The 25,720-nt window shown below is 49.4% G+C and overlaps 1 protein-coding gene and 1 long non-coding RNA gene across 3 annotated transcripts in view; one reads left to right on the plus strand and one right to left on the minus strand.

Moving 5' to 3' along the window:
• The first annotated feature begins 8,361 nt into the window (after positions 1-8,361).
• On the plus strand, positions 8,362-24,334 carry MS4A10 (membrane spanning 4-domains A10). 2 transcript variants are annotated; one of them, XM_011544989.2, is made up of 9 exons: positions 8,362-8,450; positions 13,343-13,547; positions 14,003-14,122; positions 15,294-15,350; positions 17,001-17,132; positions 18,584-18,694; positions 21,425-21,543; positions 22,604-22,713; positions 22,857-24,334. In XM_011544989.2, the coding sequence occupies exons 2-9, from the start codon at positions 13,365-13,367 to the stop codon at positions 22,895-22,897; spliced, it is 873 nt and encodes a 290-aa protein (XP_011543291.1). In that variant the 5' UTR covers positions 8,362-8,450; positions 13,343-13,364; the 3' UTR covers positions 22,898-24,334. The 2 variants fall into 2 exon arrangements, with proteins under 2 accessions (XP_011543291.1, NP_996776.2); NM_206893.4 differs by lacking the exon at positions 22,604-22,713.
• The window catches only part of LOC105369322 (uncharacterized), a 43,823-nt gene continuing 33,456 nt past the window's right edge, over positions 15,354-25,720 (minus strand). Inside the window, exon 3 of the long non-coding RNA XR_950149.3 lies at positions 15,354-15,536. This is a non-coding gene — a long non-coding RNA (uncharacterized LOC105369322). The remainder of the gene's footprint in view (positions 15,537-25,720) is intronic.

Raw genomic sequence — 25,720 nt, forward strand, 5'->3', positions numbered from 1 at the left:
GCCCAAGGCCACCGAGCTAGTTAGGAGCAAAACTGGGATCCAAACCTAGTTCCATGTGACGTCAGAGTCCGTGTTCTCACCACTTGGTCTCCCCTTAGTACAAACCTAAGTGCTTCCCACCAACCCCTTTTCCTCCTTCCTTCTGTTTCTTCATCCCCAAAACTAAGGCAGGGCTGCATTCCTCAACACACTCACTTCTTCTTCACCCAACAAACTCCCCCTCCTCCTTTAAGGCCCTATTTAAACGTTGCCCCTTCTGTGAAGTCTTCCCAAAGGAAGGGTGGTCCACGTGGTAGCTAAGTGCCGTGACCACAACACTGGAATGAGGGTGGGGCAAGGGAGGTGCCATTCAAGGGGACATTCACTCTCAGGATCATGCCAGTGCAGAGTTGGTGTAAGGGGTACAACAAGCTTTGGCTTTTACAATCAAGAAAGGAGACTCGAGGATTTAGAGCTTTCAGTTTAAGATCATTAAGTATAGAGTTGGAGGAAATGTACTTGAAGATTTAGGACCAGTTTTCTTGCCATATAAAGGAGACTAGAGACATTTCAGAACTGAGGGGAGGAGTTGGGGGAGAGAGAGGGAGAAAAAGAGAGAGGTTAGCCCCAAGCTGGGATTGCTTCCCTCTCTCCTCTGCTGACCAAATCCCTCAGGAAGTGTGTAGGCCAAAAACCACAGGTCCATTAAGAGGAATTAGAGACTACAAGGTCACTAGAGATGTCCCATATTCAGACAGCATGGAGCCACAACATAAAGATGGCTGGGGACTGTGCCTGGTGACACAATAGTCCTGCATTCCCATGTAGTGTATCAGTCCAAGCGTGAGAAAGCTCTCTGTGTTTCCTGAGCTGGCCAGTGGCCAGATGTGCAATGTGGATTACGTGAGACTATAACTTTATAACAAATATGAGCAGCAAATAAGAGTGGGGACAGTGGCCACCACTGAGAGAACAGCAAGGACAAACTATACCTCAGCAGAGGCTAGCAAGGACAGATGAGGGCTAAGGGCTTATGGACTGGAAGTCATTGGAAGTGACTGAGTTATCCTCAATTGGCAAAATTAAGTTTTCTACCACTACTGAGAGTAAATGGGAGGTAGAGATATAATTTCTGTGAAAAAGAACGCTGAGAACTACAAAATGTTACTAAGAGAAATTAACAAAGATCTAAGTCAATGAAATGATATCCTATGTTCATGAACTGAGAAGCTCAAGTTTGTTAAAATGGCATTGATTTTCAAAATTTATCTATAAATTCAATATGATTCCATTCAAAATTTTAGCAGTTTATTTTGGGGAAATTGACAAGTCAATTCTAAAATTCATATGGAAATTCAAAGGATCTTTAAAAATACAAGAAAACTTAAAGACAAAGTTGGAGGATTTAAACAACCTGATTTCAAGATTTACTACTTAGCAATAATTTAGACAGCATAGTTTTAGCCCAAAAATAGACAAAAAGACCAATGGAATAAAATAGAGAGCTCAGAAACAGACCCTCACATACAGTCCTTTGATCTATGGCAAAGACACCCATAATTAAGTGGATAAATGACGTTCTTTTTAATCAATGGTGCTGAAGCAATTAGATATTGGCATAGAAAAAAATGCACCTTAATTCCTACCTCACACCGTACATAAAAATTAATTCAGGATGAGTCACAGATCTAAATTTTATAACAAAGCAAGCTTCTAAGAGAAAACATAGGAAAATATTATTTGGGGATAAGCAAAGATTTACTAAACTAGAAATGCAAAAAACACTAACCACAAAAGACATAAAAACCATAAAAGAAATTGGAGTTTATTAAAAATTAAGAGCTCTGTTTATCAAAAATCACATTGTAAGTGTGAAAATGCAAAACATATACTGGGAGAGAATTTTGAAATGCATCATATCTGACACAGGTCTCATGTGCAGAACATATAAATAACTCCTAAAAATAATAAGTAGGCCAGGTGCACTGGCTCATCATGCCTGTAATCCCAGCACTTTGAGAGGCCAAGGTGGCTGGATCGCCTGAGGTCAGGAGTTCAAGACCAGCCTAGCCAACATGGTGAAACCTCGTCTCTATTGAAAATACAAAAATTAGCTGGGCATGGTGGCATGTGCCTGTAATCCCAACTACCTGGGAGGCTGAGGCAAGAGAATCACTTGAACCTGGGGGGCAGAGGTTGTAGTGAACTGAGATTGTGCCACTGTGCTCCATCCTGGACAACAGAGTGAGACTCTTGTCTCAAAAAAATAAATAAATAAAATTAAATAAATAAATACATAAAAGAGAGCTCAATTTAAAATGGGCAAAGAACTTGAGCAGACATGTCACAAAAGAAGATATAGAAGTGGCCAATAAATGTGCTCAACATCATTAGTCCTTAGAGAAATAGAAATTAAAACTACAATGAGATACCGCAACACACTAGAATGGCTAAAAATTTAAAAGACTGACTATAGAAGTGTTGATTAGCTTGGGAAGCTAGTCTTCTTATACATTGCTGGTGGGAGTAAAAATTAATACAACCACTTTGGAAAAAAATGTTTGGCAATATCTACTAAAGCTAAACATACACATTCAGTATAACCCAACAATTTTATTCCTGGATATGGACCCAACAGAAATCACTAAAAGACATGGACAAGAGATTTTGATGACAGCTTTATTTATCATAGGCAAAAACTTGAAACCACTGAAATGTCCATCAACCATAGAGGTAAATAAACTGTTCTATATTCGTTAAAAAGGAATAAATAAAAAGAACAAACTACCAATACATCTAACACACGAATGAATGTCTACGTGAAAGAAGACAAATAGAAAAGAGCACATCCTGGGTTATTCCAGTGATAGGAATTTCAAGAACGGTTTAGATACACTAATGGTAGTAGAAGTCAGCACAGTTGTTGGCCCTTGGGAGCAGCAGGGGAGGGGAGTGTGAGGTAGCCTCCTGGGGCAGTGCAGATCTTCATATCTTGATCTGAGTTATGGCTGCATGAGTGTATACATAGATAAAAATTAACCAAATTGGACACACCTGTGCACTTTACTGTATGTTGTTGCCTCCATTTTTTTAAGTGGGAAAAAAATAAATTAAAAAGTTACTATATTAGCTATCTATTTCTGCACAATAAATGACCACACACTTAATGGCTTAAAGCCACACACATATATATTACCTCACGATTTCTGTGGTCAGATACAGGTGCATCTTGGTTGGGTCCCCTGGTTAGGGCTTCACAAAGCTGCACTCAAGATGGCGGCTGGGCTGCACTCTTATCTGGAGACTCAACTGGTGAAGAATCCACTTCCAAGCTCACTCAGGTTGATGGCAGAATTCATTTTCTTGAAACTCTGGGACTGAGGGCCATAGCTTCTTTCTGACTGTCATTACCCTCAGCCCCTAGAGGCTGTGCTAAGCTCCTTGCCAAGGGAGCCTCATAACATGGACATTTACTTGTTTGAAACCAGCTGGGGAGTGATCCCTATAGCAAGTTGACTAGCAGGATGAAGATTTATATAACAACATAATTATGGAAGTGCCACCCCATCACCTTTGCAATAGGTTACTGGTTAGAAGCAAGTCACAGGTGCTACCCACACTCAAAGGGAAGGGTTATTGGGACCGCCTTAGAATTTGTCTGCCTCAGTTACAGTTCTGCTCATTTAAATTTGTAATTTTGAAAATGCAAATTCAATGTATTTAATTTTCTCCCAGTTTAAAAAGCCCTATCTATACCCCCTAAAACCCTTCAGCTGCAGGTTAATTTTTCTCCTCTCCTTTATTTTCCTCACTGTCACTCAACCCATTGAAATCACTCTCTGTAAGGTTATTGCATTGACCTTGTCACCAAAATCAATAGGCTTTTAAAAATCCTTGTTTTAATAATAGCTCTCTCCATTTCTTAAATGTTGCCTACCCATAGATTTCCTCTGTGTACACTACCTACTCTCTACATGATCTCATCCACCACTTCAGGTTCATTTCATCTTTTATTCAGCAAGTGCTGATTGGGTGTGTGCTGTGTAAGCTCTGGAGACACCAGACATTAGCCAAGATCTCTGTTCTCATGGAGCTCACATTAGCCATCTATCACCATCCTGACAGTTTTCAAATCACTGTCTTCCACCCAGATCTCTTTTGCTGAGACAGCCTCAGCATCTACTTTCTTGTCTCACAAAAAGGAATTTACATCTTCTCTTCCAACTCAAGCCATTTCCCCTCCTGTGTTCCTGATGTCAGTTGACGTCCCTATAGACTTTGGGCCACCCAAGACTGAACCCAAGCATCATTCTTGGTTTCCCCTCTCTCTAAGCCACACAGAATCATCCTCCACTGATTCTCCTTGCTCTGGTTTCTCAACTGAGTCCACTCTCCTTATCCTCCTCCTTTGAGCCACATCACTTTTCACCTGCATCTTTGAACCACACCACCTTTGAACCACGTCACCCTTCACCTACATCAGGCGTCAGCCTCCTGCCACGTCCCCAGCTCTGAGCCTGCCCCATGCATCTCTTGACTAGATGACAGCCAGAGGGATTTTTCTAAAGTACAAAGTCATCATGTTACTGTTCTGCCTAAACTTATTCAGGCTCTCCTTTGCCCTTGGGCTAAAGTCCAAATGCTCTAGCAACACTTACAAAGCCCTGGAGATGTAGCAGTTCACCTCTCCAGCCCCATCCCTCCTCACCCTCCACTTACACTTGACCCCGAGCCATCCTGAGTCTCCGTGAGCTCCATCTGCCTGGAAGGCTGCTCTCTGCCTGCTTCCAACCCTCCTATTTGTCCTGCTTAGCTCCCAACCCCACTTCAGACCTTCATTTAGATACCACTTCCTCCAGGAAGCCTTATCTGGCCTCATCCCCCAACCCCTTCTAGATTAGGGGAACTCCTCCAGGCTCTCGCCACACCCACATCTCAGTATCACATCACTCACCCGTCCACAGCACAGTTACCTGTCTCCCTGTTCATCTTATTCAATGGACTTCATATTCTTTCCCTATTGCTGCTGTAACAAATTACCATGAACTTAGTGGCCTAACATAACACAGACTTATTATTAGACAGTTCTGAGGTCAGAGGTCCTAAAATCCAGGTGTCGGCAGGGCTGAGTTCCTTCTGGAGGCTCCAGGGAGGCCCCGCTTCCTTGCCTTTTCCAGCTTCTAGAGGCCACCTGCCTTGCTTGGCTTGGGACCTTGGCCTCCACCTGCCAAGCTCTTCCACTCACTCTGACCCTCTTGCCTCCCGCTTGGGAATACATTGGGCCCACTGAATAATCTATCCCTATCAACAACTTTGACTTAATCATCTGCAAAGCCCTTTTCACTGCATAAGGTAACGTATTCACAGATTCTAGGGATGTGGACATTGTTGAGGTGCCATTGCTCTGACTACCACAAATTCTGAGCTCCTCAAGGCCAGGGGCAGCCTCTTGCCCACTCCTGGATCCCCAGCATGTCACACAGCGCCTGGCCCAAGTAAGTGCTCATTAGCTGTTTTATCAATGAACGGATCAGTTAATGAACAAGGGTATCAGGGGGGTGGGGGGCTGTCTTCCTACTCAGCAAAAAAGCACTGGTCCTGGAAAAACACTCACCCCATGTTTGAGGAGCTAAAGTCGTGGGTGATGAACGGGTGCAAGGCAACCAATGACAGTGATTATTGGCCTCACGTGTCTCAGCATTACAGTGGGCAGGCAAGTGCCTTCAGAAGAAACAGGTCTCTCTCAAAGCTACTGGCTGCTGCTCAGCCTGGCCCCCTACCCCTCAGGGGAAGCCTGCATAGTCCAGCAGGTCTGAGAGGGGTGAGTGGCCTTTTGCCTGATTGTGTGTGTGACATCGAAGTCTATGCCACATTGAACATGCATGACAGCTGAGCACGAGCGACCCCGGAAGCACACAGCAACTAAAATAATTAGGCACGGCCACTGACACGTGTGAGGCGCTGCTTTTAAGCATTTTACATATTCTAACTCATTTAACCCTCCAGCAACTTGATGGGTACTATTATCCCCATTTTATAGAGGGGAAAACTGAGGCCCACCAAAGTCAAATAACTTGCCCAAGGTCACACAACATTAAGAGGTAGAATCAAGATTTGAACTCAGGCATCCCAGATGCAGAGTCAGCTCTGAAGTGCTATGCTGTGCTCAGCAAGTCAAAGTCAGTCAGTCCTGGCATCAGGGACTATCTGTACAGCCGCTGGCTCTGCCTCGCGCTTCCCTGTCCACCCTCAGCAGAGCGATGTGGAGAGAGAAGCCAGATGGAAAAGGAAGAGCCCAAGGCGGGATCTAGGGGTCGCTGGATCTGGGGGTCGCTGGATCTGGGGGTCACAGGATCTGGGGGTTGCTGGATCTGGGAGTTGTGGGATCTGAGGGTTGTTGGATCTGGGGGTTGTGGGATCTGGGGGTTGCTGGATCTGGGAGTTGTGGGATCTGGGGGTTGCTGGATCTGGGAGTTGTGGGATCTGGAGGTTGCTGGATCTGGGGTTTGTTGGATCTGGGGGTCGTGGGATCTGGGGGTTGCTGGATCTGGGGGTCACTGGATCGGGGGGGTCACTGGATCTGGGGTCATAGGATCTGGGAGTCACAGGATCTGGGGGTCACGGGATCTGGGGGTTGTGGGATCTGGGGGTCATGGGATCTGGGGGTCACAGGATCTGAGGGTTGTGGGATCTGGGGGTCCCTGGATCTGGGGGTTGTGGTACCTGGGGGTCGCTGGATCTGGGGTCACTGGATCTGGGGGTCATGGGATCTGGGGGTCACTGGAGCCCACTCCACACCTCCTCCACCAGAACAGCCTCACGGAAGACCTTCACACTTCCCAGAGCAGCACCGTGCTCATGGAAAGATCAGGGCACAAGATGTGGCAACTGATTCTGTCAGATGCAATTTGTGGGCCATGCCTGGATCCTGGATCCTGATTTGAACAAATCAAAAGTAACAAGACATTTGTGAGATAATCAGAAACTGAAGCTCCGACTAGTTATTTGATACCCGGTAAGTACCAAAAACTAGATAAGAACAGGTTTTTCTGACTCCTAGGGTTAAGCTTGTCCCCCACAACAGGGGTCCCCAACCCCCAGGCCATGGAGCTATACCAGTCTGTGGCCTGTTAGGAACCAGGCCTCACAGCAGAAGGTGAGGGGCAACAGGCAAGCATGACCTACCACCTGAGTGCCGCCTCCTGTCAGATCAGCCGCAGCAATAGATTCTCAAAGCAGAACGGGCCCTATTATGAATTGCACATGCAAGGGATCTAAGTGGTACCCTCATGAGAATCGAATGCCTGATGATCTGAGGTGGACTAATTTCATCCCAGAACCATCCCCCATCCCCACCCCGGCCCATGGAAAAATTGTCTTCCACGAAACTGGTCCCCAGTGCCAGAACGGTTGGGGACCACTGCTCTATGAAAGTAGTTTCTTTTTTCCTTTCCTCTTTTTTTTTTTTTTTTTTTTTTGAGACAGGGTCACACTGTGTTGCCCGGACTGAGGTGCAGTGGTGTGATCACAGCTCACTGGACTCAAGTGATGCTCCCACCTCAGCCTCTCGAGCAGCTGGAACCATAGACAGGGACCAAGACACCTGGCTCATTTTTGAATTTTTGAATTTTTGTAGAGATGAGGTCTCGCTATGTTGCCCAGGCTGGTCTCAAGCTCTTGGCTCAAGTGATCCTCCCACTTTGGTCTCCCAAAGAGCTGGGATTGCAGGCATGAGCCACCGCCCGGCCCTTTAAAAGACTAGTTTCCAAATGTTCAACAGAGCTCTGTGGGGCTGCAGGGTTAAACTCTGAGCGTAAATAGACCTCAGTGAGCACCAGGACTCGGTTTTAATTTTTTTGTTCTGATCATGTGGTCACACTTTTTTTTTAAAGAGTCCATATCTTTTAGAGATAAATACTAAAATGCTTACAAATAAAATGGGAAGATATCTGAGTTTTGCTTACTTCTGGGGGAGAATAAGATTGGCCAAGAGCTGCTGATGGTGGCTGTAGCTCGCGAATGGGCACAGGGGTGTCATGGAACCATTCTCTCTACTTTTGTGAGTGCTTGAAATTTTCCAGAATTAAAAGAACTCTTTCAAAAGGTTCAACTTCTTACTCCACTCCCAGGATCTAAGACGATTACAACCACTTTCACTCCATCAGTCATGCCCTGAAAACAGATTAAATTATCAACATTTCCCTTGCCAAAGGAAATTTACAACTGTCAAGGAGAGACATAAAGAAGGGCACTAAGATTTTCACCTGCCGGGGTTTGGCGGGAGGGGGAAGGACTTTGACAGCTTCCATGCAACCGGGGCATGAAGCAGGGCGTGGGTCCAGGAGGGAGAAGATCCAAAGTCGAATGTTGTAAAGATGTGCTGATTTCCCAGCGCTGTCTCTGGGGAGCTCCGGCAGCGCAAGAGGGCAAAGCACAGCTGGAAGCTCAGAGCTGCAGTCCCAGGTCCTGGGGTGAGTGGTCCCCCCATGGCAGGAACAGAGGGGAGTGATTTTGTGTTTCCATGTGGAGTTGGGGGGTTGCTCAGGTGTACAGACCTGGTCCCCCCTTGAAGCCAGGGGACCGGCCTCTTATACCCCTAGCCAATCAGTTGTTGGCTGTAGGGTTGGAGCGGTGTTACTTAAACTCCCAGAAGGGAGGAGATGTGAGCCTTTAGCAATGAACAATTATACCAGCTGGAGAATGGGTGGCCCACCCAGCAGAGGGGATCTGGGAAGTAGGGGGCACCGTCGGCCTCTCCCCTGCGGAGCCCCATCCTGCTGCCAGTTACTGACCCTTATTGCTGGAGGAGCCCCAGACACTTTTCTTGCAGTCTGGAAATGCATACACACAGAGAGACCAGTTCAAGAAAACAGAGCCCCAGGGAGGAGAAGGGACTTGTCGAGGGCCACGAGGGGGCAGGACTAGAATCCAGATTCTTGACTCCCTCCTTGGACGGAGGCCTCTGTTTCCTGCAGGCCTTCCAGCTGCTGGTGGGTGAGCTCTCTTTACACCAGGCACACTGTCTGGAAGCACCAGGAGGAGGCTGGTTCAGTACAGTCGTAGGTGGTTTTCTAACTGGCATTCACTGAAACGCTGATCCTCTAAGGCACCCCACCCCCAACACCAGCCTGCCTGTCACATGTTGTGACACTCTTGTCACTCAGCACCTCTCAATTCCTGCCTTTCTGTCCTTGACATGCATGCACATGCATGCACACACATGCACACACACACACACGCACACACACACACACACACACACCCTGAGAAGCTCTCTCTGTCCTCTAGGGCTCCACTGCACAGTCTGATGAGGGTCATATTATTCATGCCACGTTTCCTCTGCCTGCTCAGCCACAGACCTCCCATGGACACATCTTACTCACTCCTGCCTCGGTCCCTGCAGTGTCCAGTGCAGAAACTCCACAAACAAATCCACGAATGACAGTGTTGGATCTCAGATCACTAGCTCAATACACTCAGTGCCTTTCTTCCCTCACGACCCCCTACCCCCACCCCAGGGCCCCAGAGCTCTCACGGCCCTCTCCCCCTGTAAGCAGGATGGGGATGGAGGCAATAAACTCACCACTCCAGATGATAGGGACAGGGTGTATCATGTCTTAACCAAGAACCAGACGAGGACAAGGTGGAGCCTCGCTCTCACAGCCCTCTCCCCCTGTAAGCAGGATGCAGATGGAGGCAATAAACTCACCACTCCAGATGATAGGGATGGGGTGTACCATGTCTTAACCGAGAACCAGACGAGGACAAGGTGGAGCCTCACTGGTGGGATTCTAGACACGCAACAGGCCAGTGGCAACTGTGGCTGACATTTATTGCTATACGCCAGTCCCTGTCAGTTGCAGGCATTGTTTCAGCTACTCCTCACCACCTACCCCCTAGGGACAGGCAGTGGCACTCCCCATGAGAAGGTGAGGGGAGACTCAGATGCTGAGATGTAAAAAACCGGCCCAAGGTCAAAGCTCCGGGGAGCAGAGCCAGGACTTTGCACGGAGCACCCATTCTAGCTGACAACTTCCAGCGCTCAGGGCCGTGCCCACTCTGCTGCTTTGCTGGGGGGTTCTGGAGGGTCCTGCCCAGCTCTGTCCCTGTCCTCCCTCCACTCCCAGAACTGAAGGAACAACGAGAATATGTGTGGGACCCAGGCATCCCGTGGCCCTGTGCAGAGCGCTGAGGCCCTAGTGGCAGTGGGTTTCCCGTGGGATACCAAGCTGGCTGGGTCCGTGGTCCTGAGCTGGCTGAGGGGGCTGGGGTTGGGCGGGGAAAGGCTAAAAAAGTTCCTTTATGCACCAAACAGCCTGCTGCCTGCCCCCTCTCTGTCAGCACACTGTCACCTCCTAGCAGCCCTGCACAGGTCCTGGAAGTGGGCCAGGACAGCTGGGAATAAGTGTTCTAAGGAATCAGAGTTCATGCTCTTTGTCTTGGAAAGGCGTACGAGAGAGTCATAACAAACTTTTCCCCATGATGACTAAGGTCTGCCCTCTGCAACTCCTTCCTCTCCTGGTTGTATAAAATTCCTTGTAGCGGCTCTCTATCCCGTGAGAGAAGTATTATATTTAAAGTTGGAAGGGACCTTAGAGATCATCACTCAATTCCCATTCCCACTGTGATATGCACGTGAGCAAACCAAAAGCAGAGAAAAGGCCAAAAACCAGAGCCCAGGACCAGAAATTGAAACCTTCAAGGCCACTTTGCCCAAAAGCAGACCCCACAGAATACCAATTGCATAGAACCGTTAGACAATGAGAAAAAAAAGATCCTATGGCCAGCCGGGCGCAGTGGCTCACATCTGTAATCCTAGCACTTTCGGAGGCCAAGGTAGGCGGATCACCTGAGGTCGGGAGTTTGAGACCAGCCTGACCAACATGAAGAAACCCCATCTCTACTAAAAATACAAAATTAGCAGGGCGTGGTGGCAGGTGCCTGTAATCCCAGTTACTCAGGAGGCTGAGGCAGGAGAATCACTTGAACCCGGGAGGCGGAGGTTGCGGTGAGCCAAGATTACGCCACTACACTCCAGCCTGGGTGACAAGAGCGAAACTCCGTCTCAAAAATAGAAATAAATAAATAAATAAATAAATAAATAATAAAGATTATATGGCCAATTAAGTTTGGGAAATGCCCTTAATACTAAAACAGAGTGTGCCACTTGTAGAAAATCTCAGAGTCTTTAATATGAGAAAAAGGGAGAAGAGGCTAACCATGGTTTCTCAAACTTATTTGACCATGGAACCCTTTTACTGCAGATACATCAGGACCAATGTTCCATGGAACATACTTTGAGAAAGGTTATTCTGGATTCTTGAGTCCAACTCCCTGTTGGATATTTGAACCATTCCTACTGCCACAGCTCTCACAAGTGAATGTCTAGGTGGAGGTACAGCTCCAGTGCCCAGGCACTCACTATCTCCGTGGACAAGCAGTTCCATCCAAGGCAGCTCTACTAAGAAGTCCCTCTTCTTCTGTTCTTTGCAGTGGAGTCCAGGCCTGGGTCCAGGTATTGTCCTCCCAGGTGTGCAGAGTCTAGGTGAAGCCAGTGGCTAACCTGGTTCAGGCCTCTGCCACCGAATACATCCCTTAGTCCAGCTAGCTGTGTCAGACGGACTTCTGAAGGCTTGGGAACCTTCCCAAGGGACAGTTCCCAGAGGGACAGTTCCCATGCATAGCTGGGCAGAGTCACAAAAAGAATCATACAGCACTGTGTCTATGAGCTCAGCTTCTGAAGCCCAGGAAAGAGGGAGACCCTCTGCCCACTCACCCCACTAAATCAGCGGTCGTCACTGCAGGACCATGGAGATATCAATCAGGGGGTCCTACCCAGCAGCCCAGGCCCAGAGCACTGGCGATGGAGTAAGACCATGCGTGGTTCCAATTCCAGGCACTTCCTCACTGTGTGACCATGGCCAAGGCAGGCAACCTCTCTGAACCTTGGTTTCCTCTTCTATGCAATGGTGCTGACTTCCTGAGTATTAAGGGAGGTTGCCAGGCAAAACTGCCTCCTGGCACAGTGCCCGGCATACAGTGCTCACCCAACTGTGAGGCCCCATCTGGCTCTTTGGCTCTTGATAATGTCCCTTCCTTTCCCCTCTACCCAATCCAGGATATAGTCACCTGGGCTATTTGTCCCTCCAAACTTCCCAAAACTCTTTCCCTGCATCCCTGTGGAAAATGTGGATGCTCAATGGAACTTCCTGGATCCACAAGTCAGACTTAAAAGTGAGAGGAATGGCCCTCCCTTTTCATTCATCCAGGATACAGTCTGAGAGCAGCCTCTCTCTCTCAAGGATTTGCTCATTAGCCCCATCCCCATGGAGAAACCATCTCTGACCTCAATCCCTGCAAGCCAGCTCCCTTTCTTCCCCGCCCAGCTGTCCACTTCCTGGGACAGAAAGACTACGTTGGATTTTCTCACCAAGTCCCAGGCAGCCCCCAAGCCCTAGTGCATCCCACGGCGTCAGTATACACTATACCAGGCCCTGTCTGCAGGTCGTGTGTCCAGCCCCCTTCTAACTTTTTTCCCCAACTCCTTTTTGTGCCCATGAGAACATCCAGAACATTCATTTCCAATTGTTGAGCCAACAGTGCATGAAGGACTTAAGCCCCAGGCTCTGGAGCCAGCCTGCCATGCTTCAAGTCCAAGTCACTTACTGGTTGTGTGACCATGGGCAAGTGGCTTAACCTTTCTGAGCCTCATCTGCAAAATGAGAGTGAGGACGGTATTTACCTCATAGGGTTGGAATGAGGACAAAATCAGGTAATGCACGTAGAAGGTTTATCTCAGTGCCTGGAGCAGAGAAAGTATTTGTAAATGTTAGCATCGTTAAATATGGACTTCCTGACTCAGTGTTGGCTCATAAAAAGTCCTCGGTGGAAGATATTTTCTTCCCTTCTCTCCAGGAGGCATGGGCACCACCACAGGAGGTAGGACAATTATTTCCCACCTGCCTTCAGTCACTCTTCTTGGACCAGTGGATGGAGACTGTTTACAAAGCCCCTCCATTGACCTGCACCTCTCGCACCTCCCAACTCTTCCAAACTGCAGTCTGGCCACTTTGGGTGAGCTCTGTCTTCCACTGGTTGTGAAGTTTGCCTGGTCCTCATTTTTCTGCCCCAAAAGGAGCTGTGTCTTTGCAACCCCAGAAAGGCTGTGAGCAGCAATTACTCCCATCTCCAGGGGCCAGATTATTCCAGGTCAAATCAAGACCAAGACCAGGGGCTGCCAGACAGGGCAACCACAGTTCTGGAAAGATCTGGTCCCTTAAACAGAGGTGATTGGCAGAGGCTCACCCAGGCACAAGCCTCAGAAATGAGACGGGTTCTGACGGCCTTCCTCCCCGTCCTGCAGCCAGGGCCCCCATCCAGCATCAATGAAAGCAGAAGCCACAGTTATTCCCAGCCGTTGTGCTAGGGGGCTCCCATCATGGCAAGTCCTCAGCCCAGTCCAGCCCTGGCAGACAAGTGCACCCCAGAACACGACCCAGCCCAAGCTCCTGGCTCCACACCAGCACGAGAAGTCCCAGAAGAAGAGCAGCCTTCTTAAGGAGCTGGGGGTGAGCATCCACTTCCCAGGGTCCCAGCAGTGGGAGGCAGAGGAGAGGGGGATATGAGGAGGATGCTGGGGGGCCCCAAGGGAAGAAAGGGAAAAGAGAAAGGCTCCAGCTTTCCTGCTGAACATTCATCTGAACTGGAAAAGGCCTTGAAGATTGGAGAGAATCTGCCCACACCTACTACTGCCTTGTGAGGTTTGGACAGGGCCCTGTCCTGGGGAGAATGGCAGAAGGCTGCCAGCTCCAGGATAGATAGCTCCCACCCATGGGGCCCTTGGCAGCTTCAGCTCTTTCTGCAGGAAATCCTGGGGAGTGGTCCTTCTTAGAGAGCCTGGTCTCTGGGATCCCTAAGAGGACAGAAGGGACTCACCACAGCCAGTAGGTCCAGGGCACTAGTGGCCTCAATTAGAGCCAGTGACCGATGCCCTCACCCCAGCCATTCTCTCTTCCCCACCCAGGCCTTCCACATCACCATCGCTCTGCTGCACCTGGTCTTTGGGGGCTACCTGGCCTCTATAGTCAAGAACCTTCACCTGGTGGTGCTGAAGTCTTGGTATCCATTCTGGGGGGCTGCCTCTGTGAGTAGAAGGCAAAACACAGACCGGGTGTGGGAGTCTGCAAGGCAGGCCTGGGAGGCCCTGGCATTTGGGACAGGATGCAGGGTGGGATAGAGAGAGCTAATAGGAGTGCGGCAGAAGCGAGGCCCTTTCTCCAGTGTTCCTAGCTCTGCTTCTTTTATCTTAGTCACAATGGAAATAGCTCCTTCCAGGGAGCCCCTGTCAATTCTGAGTCCCAAGAGAGCACTTGGAGGCTATCCATTCTCCCATAATTGAATATGTGCATTTGGCAAAGAGGAGGGTGAGTAAGACCCAGGGACAGCTTCATTCTTCCCCAGCCTTCTGAGCAGCCAGGCTGCCTCTGGATCCAGCTACAGGTGCCCTGTTGGGGTTGAGCTACAAAAACACACAGGGTGTAAGGTGTGGCTCCTGTCCTCCCAAGGCCATCAGCCAGGATGGGAGATGACACTGGACCAGTGCATGCACCATTTCCCAGAAGCTCTACATTCCTTCAGGTCTCCAGGGAGCCCACCCCATTCCTGACTCCCAGGTGGAGTCCTGCCTATGCACTAAGTCCAAGCTCCACGGCACTGTCTTGGGCAAGTATCCCAATCCCCCTTTCACATCAGTCCACTGTTCTCACTGCCCACAGGATGGGGCTTTCACTGCACAGTGATAGAACTTTCCACACATGCAGTGCTTATTCACCCTGTGCTCCCAGGGACTAGCCCATAGTAGGTGCTCAGTGCACATTGGAAAGAATGATTGCAGAGGTGCTCCCAGAGACCTTGGAAGCAAGAACTCATATCCTCCCAACTGCAAGATTCAAGAAAAGAGAAACAGTCGGGGTGGAGGGGATAGTGCCACTGATCCCAGCGATGGTTTGGGTTTGTAAAATGAGGGAAGCAGGAGGGTCTAGGAGGGAGTTCTAAGTGCAGGGCACAGCTTGGTCCAAGGTGTAGAGATGGGAGGAGGTATGGAGGTTTGTGCACATGGGAAGATGTGAGGTGGGGCAGCTTCTTGGATGGGCCACATGGCAGGCAAGAGGAGCTCACTTTGCTGGAGGAATAGTATTCCCTGCCCCACTGGCCGCCAAGGGTTGATTTTCTTGGAGAATAGGGGTGGGGGTGGGAATTTGTGGGTTTTGAGGAACCCCAGCTTCTCTCCTTTGACTTTCAAATCTGTCCTGCAGTTTCTCATTTCAGGGATCTTGGCGATAACAATGAAGACCTTTTCTAAAACTTACCTGGTGAGTGGGCACACTGAGATCATTCTCTTCCATCTGAGCATGGCATAACTTTGTTAAGGGCATCTGTCTGTAGGGGTGATTGTGAGGGCACTTCTCCAGGACTTGCTAAGAGCAGGCTCTTGCCTTCAGGACAGCAGAGGATGTCCAAGCAGAAGGGTCCAGATGCAGACAGGCTGACAGACTTGGCTGTGGGAGGAAAGGAAGCACCATCTGAAGCTTCTCTCTTTCCAGTGCAGTGAGGCAGAGAAGGAAATGGCTCCCAGGCACCCTGACCCATCCATCTAGGACACAACTTTGCTTCCTCTCAAATCTACTGTGTCTTAATCTTAATCACCACATAGCCTGCAAGCCCCAGCCTCCAGCTGGATTTGCATCTACTTCTCCTCTCTAAGAGCCAGGCAGATGGAACGGTGGTCCTCCCTTTTCTGCCCGTGCTGGCCACTGCCCAAACACCTTGCCCTCTCCCCTGCACACATGGCTCCCATCTTTGACTTACTCCTGACCACTCAAGACAACCTGTATGTCTTGTCCTCCCGGAGATCTTCCCTGACCTCCATGGCTGCCTTCCATTCTCCCACAACTCTGTGGACTTACCTGTCTCTACTGTACACTAAATTATTTCTGGGCAGAATGTGCCCGAGCATAGTGATAGCCCAAGGTGGCCCAAGTAGGCACAGAGTAGACACCTAGCACAAGACTGGATGGGTGGAGGTGGATGGATGATGGAAGGAACATCCCTGCAAATCACAGCTCACACCCAGGTCTTCCCACCTCCCCTCCTTCTGCCCCCGAAGCCCAAGCCAGGTCCTTCCCTATTTGTGTCCCTCAGCCTGGCTAGGCTGTGGTTGCTCCCTACTTTCTCAGAGGGCATACAGAATAGAAGGATGGTTGTGCAGTTTACCCAGCAGAGGCAGGAGATGCTTGACAAAGACGTGCCCATTCCCCAGACCTCACCCTCCTGGGCTGAGCCCCTTTTAGAACCACAGGCCTCTTGCTTTGTATACCTGAGCATAAGGACACTCTTACTGTAAAGAAACCCATTCCAGTATAAAAGGCTACAGATTCCATATGTGCATAGTCTTTCCTCACTAGGAGGATTTGCACTTGGCAAGAGGCTCTTGGAATGATGCTTAACCCGAGAGGACGATGAATACAGGCATTTCAGGAACCATGGCAGGTGGGCGGAGAAAATGGGCTGGTACTGGGACATGTGAGGATAGGGCACTTTCAGAGCTCCTCCTGACCTTTCTGGTGGGGAAGGGGCTGGATGAGGGGTCACCTGGGTGTCGAATCCCTGACACTTGGCATAGCTGATGTAGGATGGTCGGGGCTGGCTTTGAGCAGGAAATGGCAATAGGGCATCCTTTATTGCAAAGCTCTTGGATCTGAAGGCAGCTCTTGGGTTCTCCCAATTTGTCCCATAGAAGGCAAGGGCCAGCTGGACCCTCCTCAGTGGTCACACAGGAGCAGCTCAGCTCAATCCTGTGTGAGGGGCTGAGGGGCCAGTGACAGGCAGAGGGGGCCTTGGGCCCAGTGACAGGCAGAGTCTCTCCTGAGGCTACAGAGGAAGCTACTGGCAAGCATGAGGGGAGGACCTAGCCCCAGGTCTCCACCCTTTGGACAGCTGTTACCTTTATTTTTCACCTATAGAAGATGTTGTGCCTGATGACAAACCTCATCAGCCTCTTTTGCGTGCTGTCTGGCCTCTTCGTCATCTCCAAGGATCTCTTTCTGGAGAGCCCATTTGAGTCCCCGATCTGGAGAATGTACCCCAACTCCACGGTGAGTACCCAGGCCTGGAGGGCCCTCTGACTTCAGCGAAGGTGCTGCCTTGGATTTGGCCAACAGGAGGTTTCCAGCTCACAGAAAGCCCCTCCTGGAGCCCAGGTGTGGGCTGCTGGGCCCTTTGCCAACCTGTTTCTGTCCCCTACAAGGTGTGGTGGAAAGGTGGGTGCTGGGCTGCTGACTGGTCAGCATCACTGAATCCAAGTCCACTTTTATAGATTGGGAAATGGGGCCAGAGACGGGGAGGAGCCTGCCTGAGGTCAAGCAGCAACTTGACGGCAAATCCAGGACCACAGCCTAAAACTGCTGATTTCCCAGCCAGGGCTCTAAGCATGGTGTGCCTGGTGGCCCCTGTGATCCGGGAGCCTCCCATCAGCCTTGCAAAGCTGGCCAAGTCCACTTTGTTACCCTCATCTTCTGGGAGTGAACACGGAGGTCCAGAGAGGCTAGATTAGTGGGTCTTTGACTCCAAGCCTGGTGCTCTTTTCACCATATCACTGCTGCCTCTGAAGCAGAAGGCAGACCACTGGGTGCCTCTGGGCCAGGCTCCAAGAATTCTTTTTTCTTTTTTTTTGGAAGGGGCGGGGGAACGGAGTCTCACTCTTGTCACCCAGGCTGGAGTGCAGTGGCACAATCGAGGCTCACTGTAACCTCCGCCTCCCAGATTCAAGCAATTCTCCTGCCTCAGCCTCTCGAGTAGCTAGGATTACAGGCACCCACCACAGCCACCACCACGCCAGGCTAATTTTTGTATTTTTAGTAGAGATGGGGTTTCACCATGTCGGCCAGGCAGGTCTCGAACTCCTGACCTCTAGTGATCCTCCCGCCTCAGCCTCCCAAAGTGCTGGGATTACAGGCGTGAGCCACCATGCCCACAAGGGTTCTGACCATAGTGGTTTGTTATTCCTTATCTCCTCCCAGCACATACACACACGTGCATACACATGCACATCACATGCATGTGCGAGCATGCATGGACACACATGTGCGTGCACACACACACATATACATATGCTTCCCCATCAAATGCATGTGATACTATGAGATGACTCCCAGCTGCACGGCTCTTCCCCTCCTCTGCTGTAAAACATGCTCCCTCACTCTGGGACTAGGTACCCCCATCTGTCAAATAGGCTTGGATCAGATGACCCTAAGGCTACCTTCATTCTTACCAGGGACCCATGAGATTCTCCAGCCCTCAAACGTTAGGCCAATACTCACCAAAGACCCATATGTGCCAGGCATTGAGTGTAGGGCAGTGACCAAGACAGACCAAGTCCCCGTCCCACAGAGACCCACCCTGCCTTCCCCACGCACACCTGGGAGCTGAAACCCCACCTGCCCTCTGCTGTGGATCTTAGCAAGGACCCCTGCCTGGCTAAGCCCACGTGATGCGTGCAGACACCCAGCGAGGCCTCACCCTGCCTTCCTTCCCTCTACCCTCTCAGGTCCACATCCAGAGGCTGGAGCTGGCCTTGCTCTGCTTCACTGTCCTAGAGCTCTTCCTGCCAGTGCCCACAGCTGTCACAGCCTGGAGAGGGGACTGCCCATCTGCAAAGGTAAGACAAGGGCTTGTCTTCCCAGGAAGACAAAAAATGGGGGCATGAGGCAGCAGAGAGCTCAGAAAGGAAAGATATGTGGGGGTTACAAGAGGAGCGTGTTTCATTCATTCCTCACGTTGCTGAGCGTTCACTAAGTGACAGCCCACGATCCAGTAGGGGAGCCAAGGCACGGGGGCAAGAGAGGAGGCCAATCCAAGGAGAAAAGGGTGAGGCTGCCAGAGAGGAAACTCCATGGGTGCCCAGAACAAGAGGCTACTGTGCTGCCAGCTCTGAAGGCCCTGGGGAAATTGCATCACAGAGGCCCATGATGACCGGGCAGGATTCGGACCCACAGGCATAGGTGGAAGAGAGACTTTCAGCAGAGCAAGAAGAGCACGAGCACTGGCTTGGAGACAGGACAGAGAAGGCCTGGGGAAGCTATGGTGTGTGTGGAGTTTGGCTGTAGTGGAAACAAGTGACAGAGTCATCAAAGATTGGGCATTTAAGGAATTGCAGGGACTCTATTAAGCATCAATCGATGCATCCATTGATGGATGGATGGATGGATGATGTATGGATGGATATAGACGTGCAGATATACAGATAAATATAGCTGTATTTAACTTTATCTTCTCAATAACCCTTTTTCTTTTGAGACTGAGTCTCACTCTGTCACCCAGGCTGGAGTACAGTGGCACGATCTCGGCCCACTGCAACCTCCGCCTCCCGGGTTCAAGCAATTCTCCTACCTCAGCCTCCCAAGTAGCTGGGACTACAGGCATGTGCCACCATACCTGGCTAATTTTTGTATTTTTTTAAGTATAGATGAGGTTTTGCCATCCTGGCCAGGCTGGTCTCAAACTCCTGACCTCAAGTGATCCACCACCCATGGCCTCCCAAAGTGCTGGGATTACAGGCATCAGCCATCATGCCCAGCCCTCAACAACCCTTTGAGGTACTTACATTCTCATACTACAGACTAGCAAGCTGAGGTCCAGAGAGGTCACATCACTTCTCAAGGCGAAGCAGCCAATTAGGAAATCCAGGACTCAGCCTGAGCTATGTCCAACCCACAGTCTTGCCCTTGTCTACCCATGGGGATGGCATAGGGCTAGATATATTTTAAAATAGAAGGCAAGTCTCTGCTCACCCCAAAGATCCTGAACAGTTCAGGATAAGGATGTTTTATAAAAGAAAAAAAATAAATAAAAAATAAAGACCCTGACCAGAAGTGATCTCTAAGGCTCATTTCTTTAAAGAAAAAAAAATCATATTACAATCTCAACTTTAGAACATTATTTAAAAAAGTGCCAAATCCCCCATAATTCTTCAAGTTTGACACTGATTTTCATGTTAGTGACCTCATCACACACCAAGTGTTCACATAATGCATATATAAGTTGATGGCCTCTGAGTTTCATTTAACATCAAGCAGAGAAGGTGTCTTTGTTAATTCCTAGCTGCCTGACAGGAAGTCTTCTCATTAAGACATCAGAAAGCCAGATGGGGGTCTTGAGTCACTGAGGCCAACCCCACTTTTAAGGATGGGGAAAACTGGGGCCCCATACCTAGCTGCAGCTATGAGCAATAATTGTTCCTATTTATTGACCTTTGCTGTGTTCCAGGCACTGTGCTAGTGCTGCAGGTGGCTGTATTCATTTTCTATTGATGTTGTAGTAAATTATCACAAATTTGGTGGCTTAAAATGACACCTGTATTACCCTACAGCTCTGGAGGTCAGCGGTTTGAAATGAGTCTCAAGGGCTCAAATCAAGGTGTGTCGCCAGGACTGCATCCCTTCCGGGGGCATCAAAAAGAATCTCTTTCCTTGCCTTTTCCAGCTTCTAGAGGCTGCCTGCATTCCTTGGCTTGTGGCTCCTTCTTCCACCTTCAAAGCCAGCATCACAACATCCTCCAATAACCCTGTCTCCCTCTTCTACCTTTAAGGACCCTTATCATCATACTGGGCCCAGAGAGATAATCCAGGAGAATCTCCCAATCTCAAAGCTGATTGGAAACCTTAATTCCATCTGCAACCTTAATTCCTCTCTGCCGTGTGACCAGAGATTAGAACATGGGTGTCTTCTGGGGGCCGTGCTTCTCCCTACTGCACTAGCTAAGATGTCCTTGAATCTCACGGCCATTCTGGGACGCAGGTTCTGCTTTTCCATTTTAAAGAGGAAAAAATGAACCTTAGAAGAGTTACGTGACTTCCCATGGTCTCACAGCCAGTAAGTGGCCATGCCAGGTTCCCCAATGGGCCCTGTGCCCTCCCCATCGGTAAGGATGGTGCCAGGGACAGGCTCTCCAGCACTGAGTTGGTGCCACCCTCATCACTAATCAGGGATGGAGGTGTGGCAGCAATCATTGGCAGACACTGTTGGCATTAGACCTGCCCCTAGAGTGTATCCTGGCTAGAAGGGACTTGGGTCATGGCCCAGCCCCCCTCAGGAAACCCAACAGGGTGAGTGACTTGCACCTGGTCACCAGGACACTGGTAGCGGGACGGGAACCAGAGCCCCATCCAGTGACTCCCATGTGGGCCTCCCCCTACTCCCTTTTCAAGAACAGGGAGGGTGGAGGGAGTCACACACTGGTCTATGGAAGTCGCTTCGTCTCTCAAGCCTCAGTTTCCCCACATTCATGGAGAACTTGAGTCTTCAGAAGTGAACTAGCAGAGAAGTGTTTCGGAAGCAGCCAGTCGCTCCACAGCTGTGAGCAGCAGGGGCGGCGACTTTTCTTTCGCAGAATGATGATGCATGCCTTGTTCCGAATACACCATTGCATCTCAAAGGCCTGCCGGTGGAGCCCCCGCCATCCTACCAGAGTGTGATTCAAGGCGACGCACAACACAAGCAACATCAGAGGTGAAGAGGTTTGGCCCTGGCTCCCCAGACCTTCAGAACCCACGCTTGGCCCCTTCTCCCTGGCATAGATAGAAACCAGTTCCCAGGGGAGCTGTAAGGGGCAAGGGGCTAACAGTGCTGCAGCTAGAACTGCCTGGCCTGGGAGTGGTAGCCAAGGCAGCAATGGTCCTATCCCCTCAGGCACTAGAGGAACTCCCAGGGCCCCCCAGGAACATCTCAGCACCTGACTTGGTTGACCAGAACTACCTCAGCTGAACCTGGGCGCAACCAGGACCCATCGCCTTCCCTGCCAGCCTCCAGAGCAAACCCCTGGGCCTGCAGCCCCCTGGTGCCCCCCATGCCCTCTGGCCTCCCTTGCCTGCCTTCTCTGATCAATGGTGGATGCACAGGGGGATATAAGGGCAGCCAGGAAGGAAGGTCTCCAGAGCGGCACAGGCAGGGGCTTCCCTTGCCTCAACCTACTAAGACATCTCTGAGGGAGCCTGTGTGTCTGAATCCCTGGATTTGGGCTGAGGGCAGCTGGGGAGTTGAGTCCCATAGAAACTGTGTACAGTTCTTCCCTCTGAACTAGACCCTCTGCATGAATCTTTTTGCCCTCCTGGACCTCAGTGTCTCCATCTGTAAAGTGGAGGTGCAAGGATGACATGATCCAGGAGTCTCCCAGCTTGAAAGCTCTGAGATCAGGAGAATTCAAGGTTCACAGTTGTGACATCGAGGTTGCCAGTAAAACTTCAGCCTCGGAATTTCAAACCTACTTGTGCTAAGTAAATAATGTGAGGGAGAGGGACCTGCCTTCCTCATTTTCCTAATTTCAGTCATCTGAGGAATAGTCTTCAGGACTTTTGCTTATTTGTGAGCTGCAATGTATTCTGGTTTTTTTTCCACACTGATTCTTTTTTCTATATTATTTTAAAGGGGCACTTTGTAGCAGCAAGATATAGGAAATCAGTATCTTTCCATAAACAGAAGCAAACCCCAAAAATAACAAACATGTGAAATAAAACGCAATTTTCCCCTCCAACCCCGTGGTCTCACCCACTGCTTCCCTTCCTCTTGCTAGCTCTGCCCCAGCCACCATGGCTTCCTTGAGGTTCCACAGACACCCCAGGGACACCCCTGCCTCTGAGCCATCACCCTTGCCCTTCCTCCACCTGGATTCTCTTCCCCCAGGTATTTGCAGAGCTCACTCTTTGAATCTTTACTGGGCCACTGACTCTGAGCCAAGTAAATGCTATTTAATCTCAATGTCATTTAATCCTCCCATCGATCTGTGACCTAGCTGCTGTTGCTATTAATATCTCCATTTCATGCAGGCTCAGAGAAGTTAAGCAAGTTGCCCCGGACACATGGATAGTCACTGACGGAGCTGCGATCTGGACCCAGACTGCAAACTGAAGAGCCACTGCCTGACAATGCCCAAACTTGGTTGGAGCATAGCCCCTGCTCTCCCAAAGTTGCACTTTCACTGGGAAGATGAGATTTGCACATACAAAAGGCTAGAGCGATGGTCTATACAGCAAAGTCAGCCCTCACAGCTCCTGGGAACGCTGTCCTCTCAGATAAGCCATTTCTTACATAGTTGATGGCTCGATATCTGTGGTGGCCCAGATTGTTTTGTTTTGTTTCGCTTTGTTTTGTTTTCTTTTGTTTTGTTGAGATGGAGTCTCGCTCTGTTGCCCAGCCCAGAGTACAGTGGCACTATCTCAGCTCACTGCAATCTCCGCCTCCCTGGTTCAAGTGATTCTCCTATCTCAGCCTCCCAAGTAGCTGGGACTATAGGCACACGCCACCACGCCCAGCTAATTTTTATATTTTTAGTAGAGACAGGATTGCACCATATTGGTCAGCCTGGTCTCAAACTCCTGACCTCAGGTGATCCACCTGCCTCAGCCTCCCAAAGTGCTGGGATTACAGGCGTGAGCCACTGTGCCCAGCCCAGGTTTTGAAGTTGTCCGAGATAGCAGTCTGCTCTCTACTGCCTTATAAAATCCCTGTGTGAAGGGATGCTCTCAGTATCATTTGCCCTTGCACAGAATATCCCTGGGGTTTGAGGTTCTTTGAATTCTCCCTCTTTGTCATCTCTTTCGCTGCCACTTCTGGCTGTGGTCACTAGCTTGGCCATAGCACCTCTCTTCTCCACTTCTGATCTGCTGCTTCTAACCTTCTATAGATTGCAGCTGGCTTTAAAATAGATTGTAAAGTGTAAGGCATTAGGTTCTGAGACAGCGGCAGAGAGAGCCATGCAAATGTTTAGGACAACCCAGTCTTTCTTTTTTTTTTTTTTTTTTTTTTTTTTTGAGACGGAGTCTCACTCTGTCACCCAGGCTGGAGTGCTGTGGTGCAATCTCGGCTCACTGCAACCTCTGCCTCCCGAGTTCAAGCAATTCTCCTGCCTCAGCCTCCCGAGTAGCTGGGATTACAGGCGACCGCCACCACGCCTGGCTACTTTTTGTATTTTTAGTAGAGACAGGGTTTCACCACGTTAGCCATGATGGTCTCAAACTTCTGACCTCATAATCCACCCACCTTGGCCTCCCAAAGTGCTAGGATTACAGGCATGAGCCACCACCCCTGGCTGAAACCCAATCTTTCAAAACATGAAAGGGGGTGATGGAGAAAACCTTAGCTTGGTTGTCTAAAGACATGGGTGCAAACTCTAGGCTAGCTCTGCCAATCACTTACTGTGCGGGTTTGACTCAGTCCCTTCCCCTCACTAGGTCCCAGTTTCTCCATTTGTAAAACAAGCAATTGTGCTACATTGATGGTTTACATCAATAAAGGTTGAAACGGCTTCTGGTTCGACTTCTATTTTTCAAAAATCAGTCAGTGGAAGACTTGTCAATGTTCCCTTTGAAAGGGCACTGCCTCCGCAGGTGCGTGGTGGAAGCCCGGGCAGGGTTAGCTGGTCTCGGCGGAGCATGGCCACAGCCCAGTCCCTGAGTGGCTCATCAATACCGCGACCTGCTAGAATGGCTGGTATCTTCTACACAGTATGCAGAATTTCTAACACCAGGCTAGAAACAGAAAGCAATCTTTGACTATTGTTAATACTGTGGTTAAATTTTAGTCTGTATTTTGACTTTTTTTTTTCAATTTTTTTTCTCTTTTGAGATGGAGTCTCACTGTGTCGCCCAGGCTAGAGTGCAATGGCACGATCTCTGCTCACTGCAACCTCCGCCTCCCATGTCCAAGCGATTCTCCTGCCTCAGCCTCCTGAGTAGCTGGGACTACAGGCGCATGCCACCACACTCGGCTAATTTTTGTATTTTTAGTAGAGACAAGGTTTCACCATGTTGGTCACGCTGATCTCGAACTTCTGACCTCATGATCTGCCCACCTCAGCCTCCCAAAGTGCTGGGATTACAGGCGTGAGCCACCATGCCCAGCCTTTTTTTTTTCAATGTTTTGAGGCAGGATTTTGCTCTGTCACCCAGGTTGGAGTGCAGTGGCACAGCCATAGCCCGCTGCCAGCTTGAACTCCTGGGCCCAAGCAGTCCTCCCATCTCAGCCTCCTGAGTAGCTGGGACTACAGGTGTGCACCACCACGCCCAGCTAATTTTTTAATTTTTAGCAGAGCTCTCGATATGTTGCCCAGGCTGGTTCTTCAAACTCCTGGTCTCAAGCAATCCTGTCGCCTCGGCCTCCCAAAGTGCTGAAATTAGAAGTGTGAACTGCCACACCAGCTGATTTTGATATGGATTCAGCCCTAAATGAAGCCTACTATCATTTTTACTCATGATGAAAAATTCAAACATACAGAAAACTTAATAGTACAATTGACACCCTTATAGCTCCCCTGAGATTACAGTGTTAACATTTTGCATATTTGCTTTCCCTCCTTCTCCACATATATATGTCTCTTTATATATACGTATGTGTGTATATAGACCATGTATATAGTAGACATAGATAGACATACATTTGTATATATACTTTTTCATTGAACCATTTGTAAGTTGCAGACATCATGACTTTTCCTCTCTAAATTCTTCTACCTGCATTATTTCCTAAGAATAAGCACATCCTCGTATGTAATCATAATACTATTATCACACTAGGAAAATTAAAAATAATTCTATAATCCTAATACCCTGTCCGTATTCAAATATCCCCCACTAGGCCAAAAATGTCTTTATTGTGTTTTTTTAAGCTGGATCTGGCCACGTTTCACACATTA

Source organism: Homo sapiens, chromosome 11 (genome assembly GCF_000001405.40).
Source record: "Homo sapiens chromosome 11, GRCh38.p14 Primary Assembly".
Taxonomy (NCBI): Eukaryota; Metazoa; Chordata; class Mammalia; order Primates; family Hominidae; genus Homo; species Homo sapiens.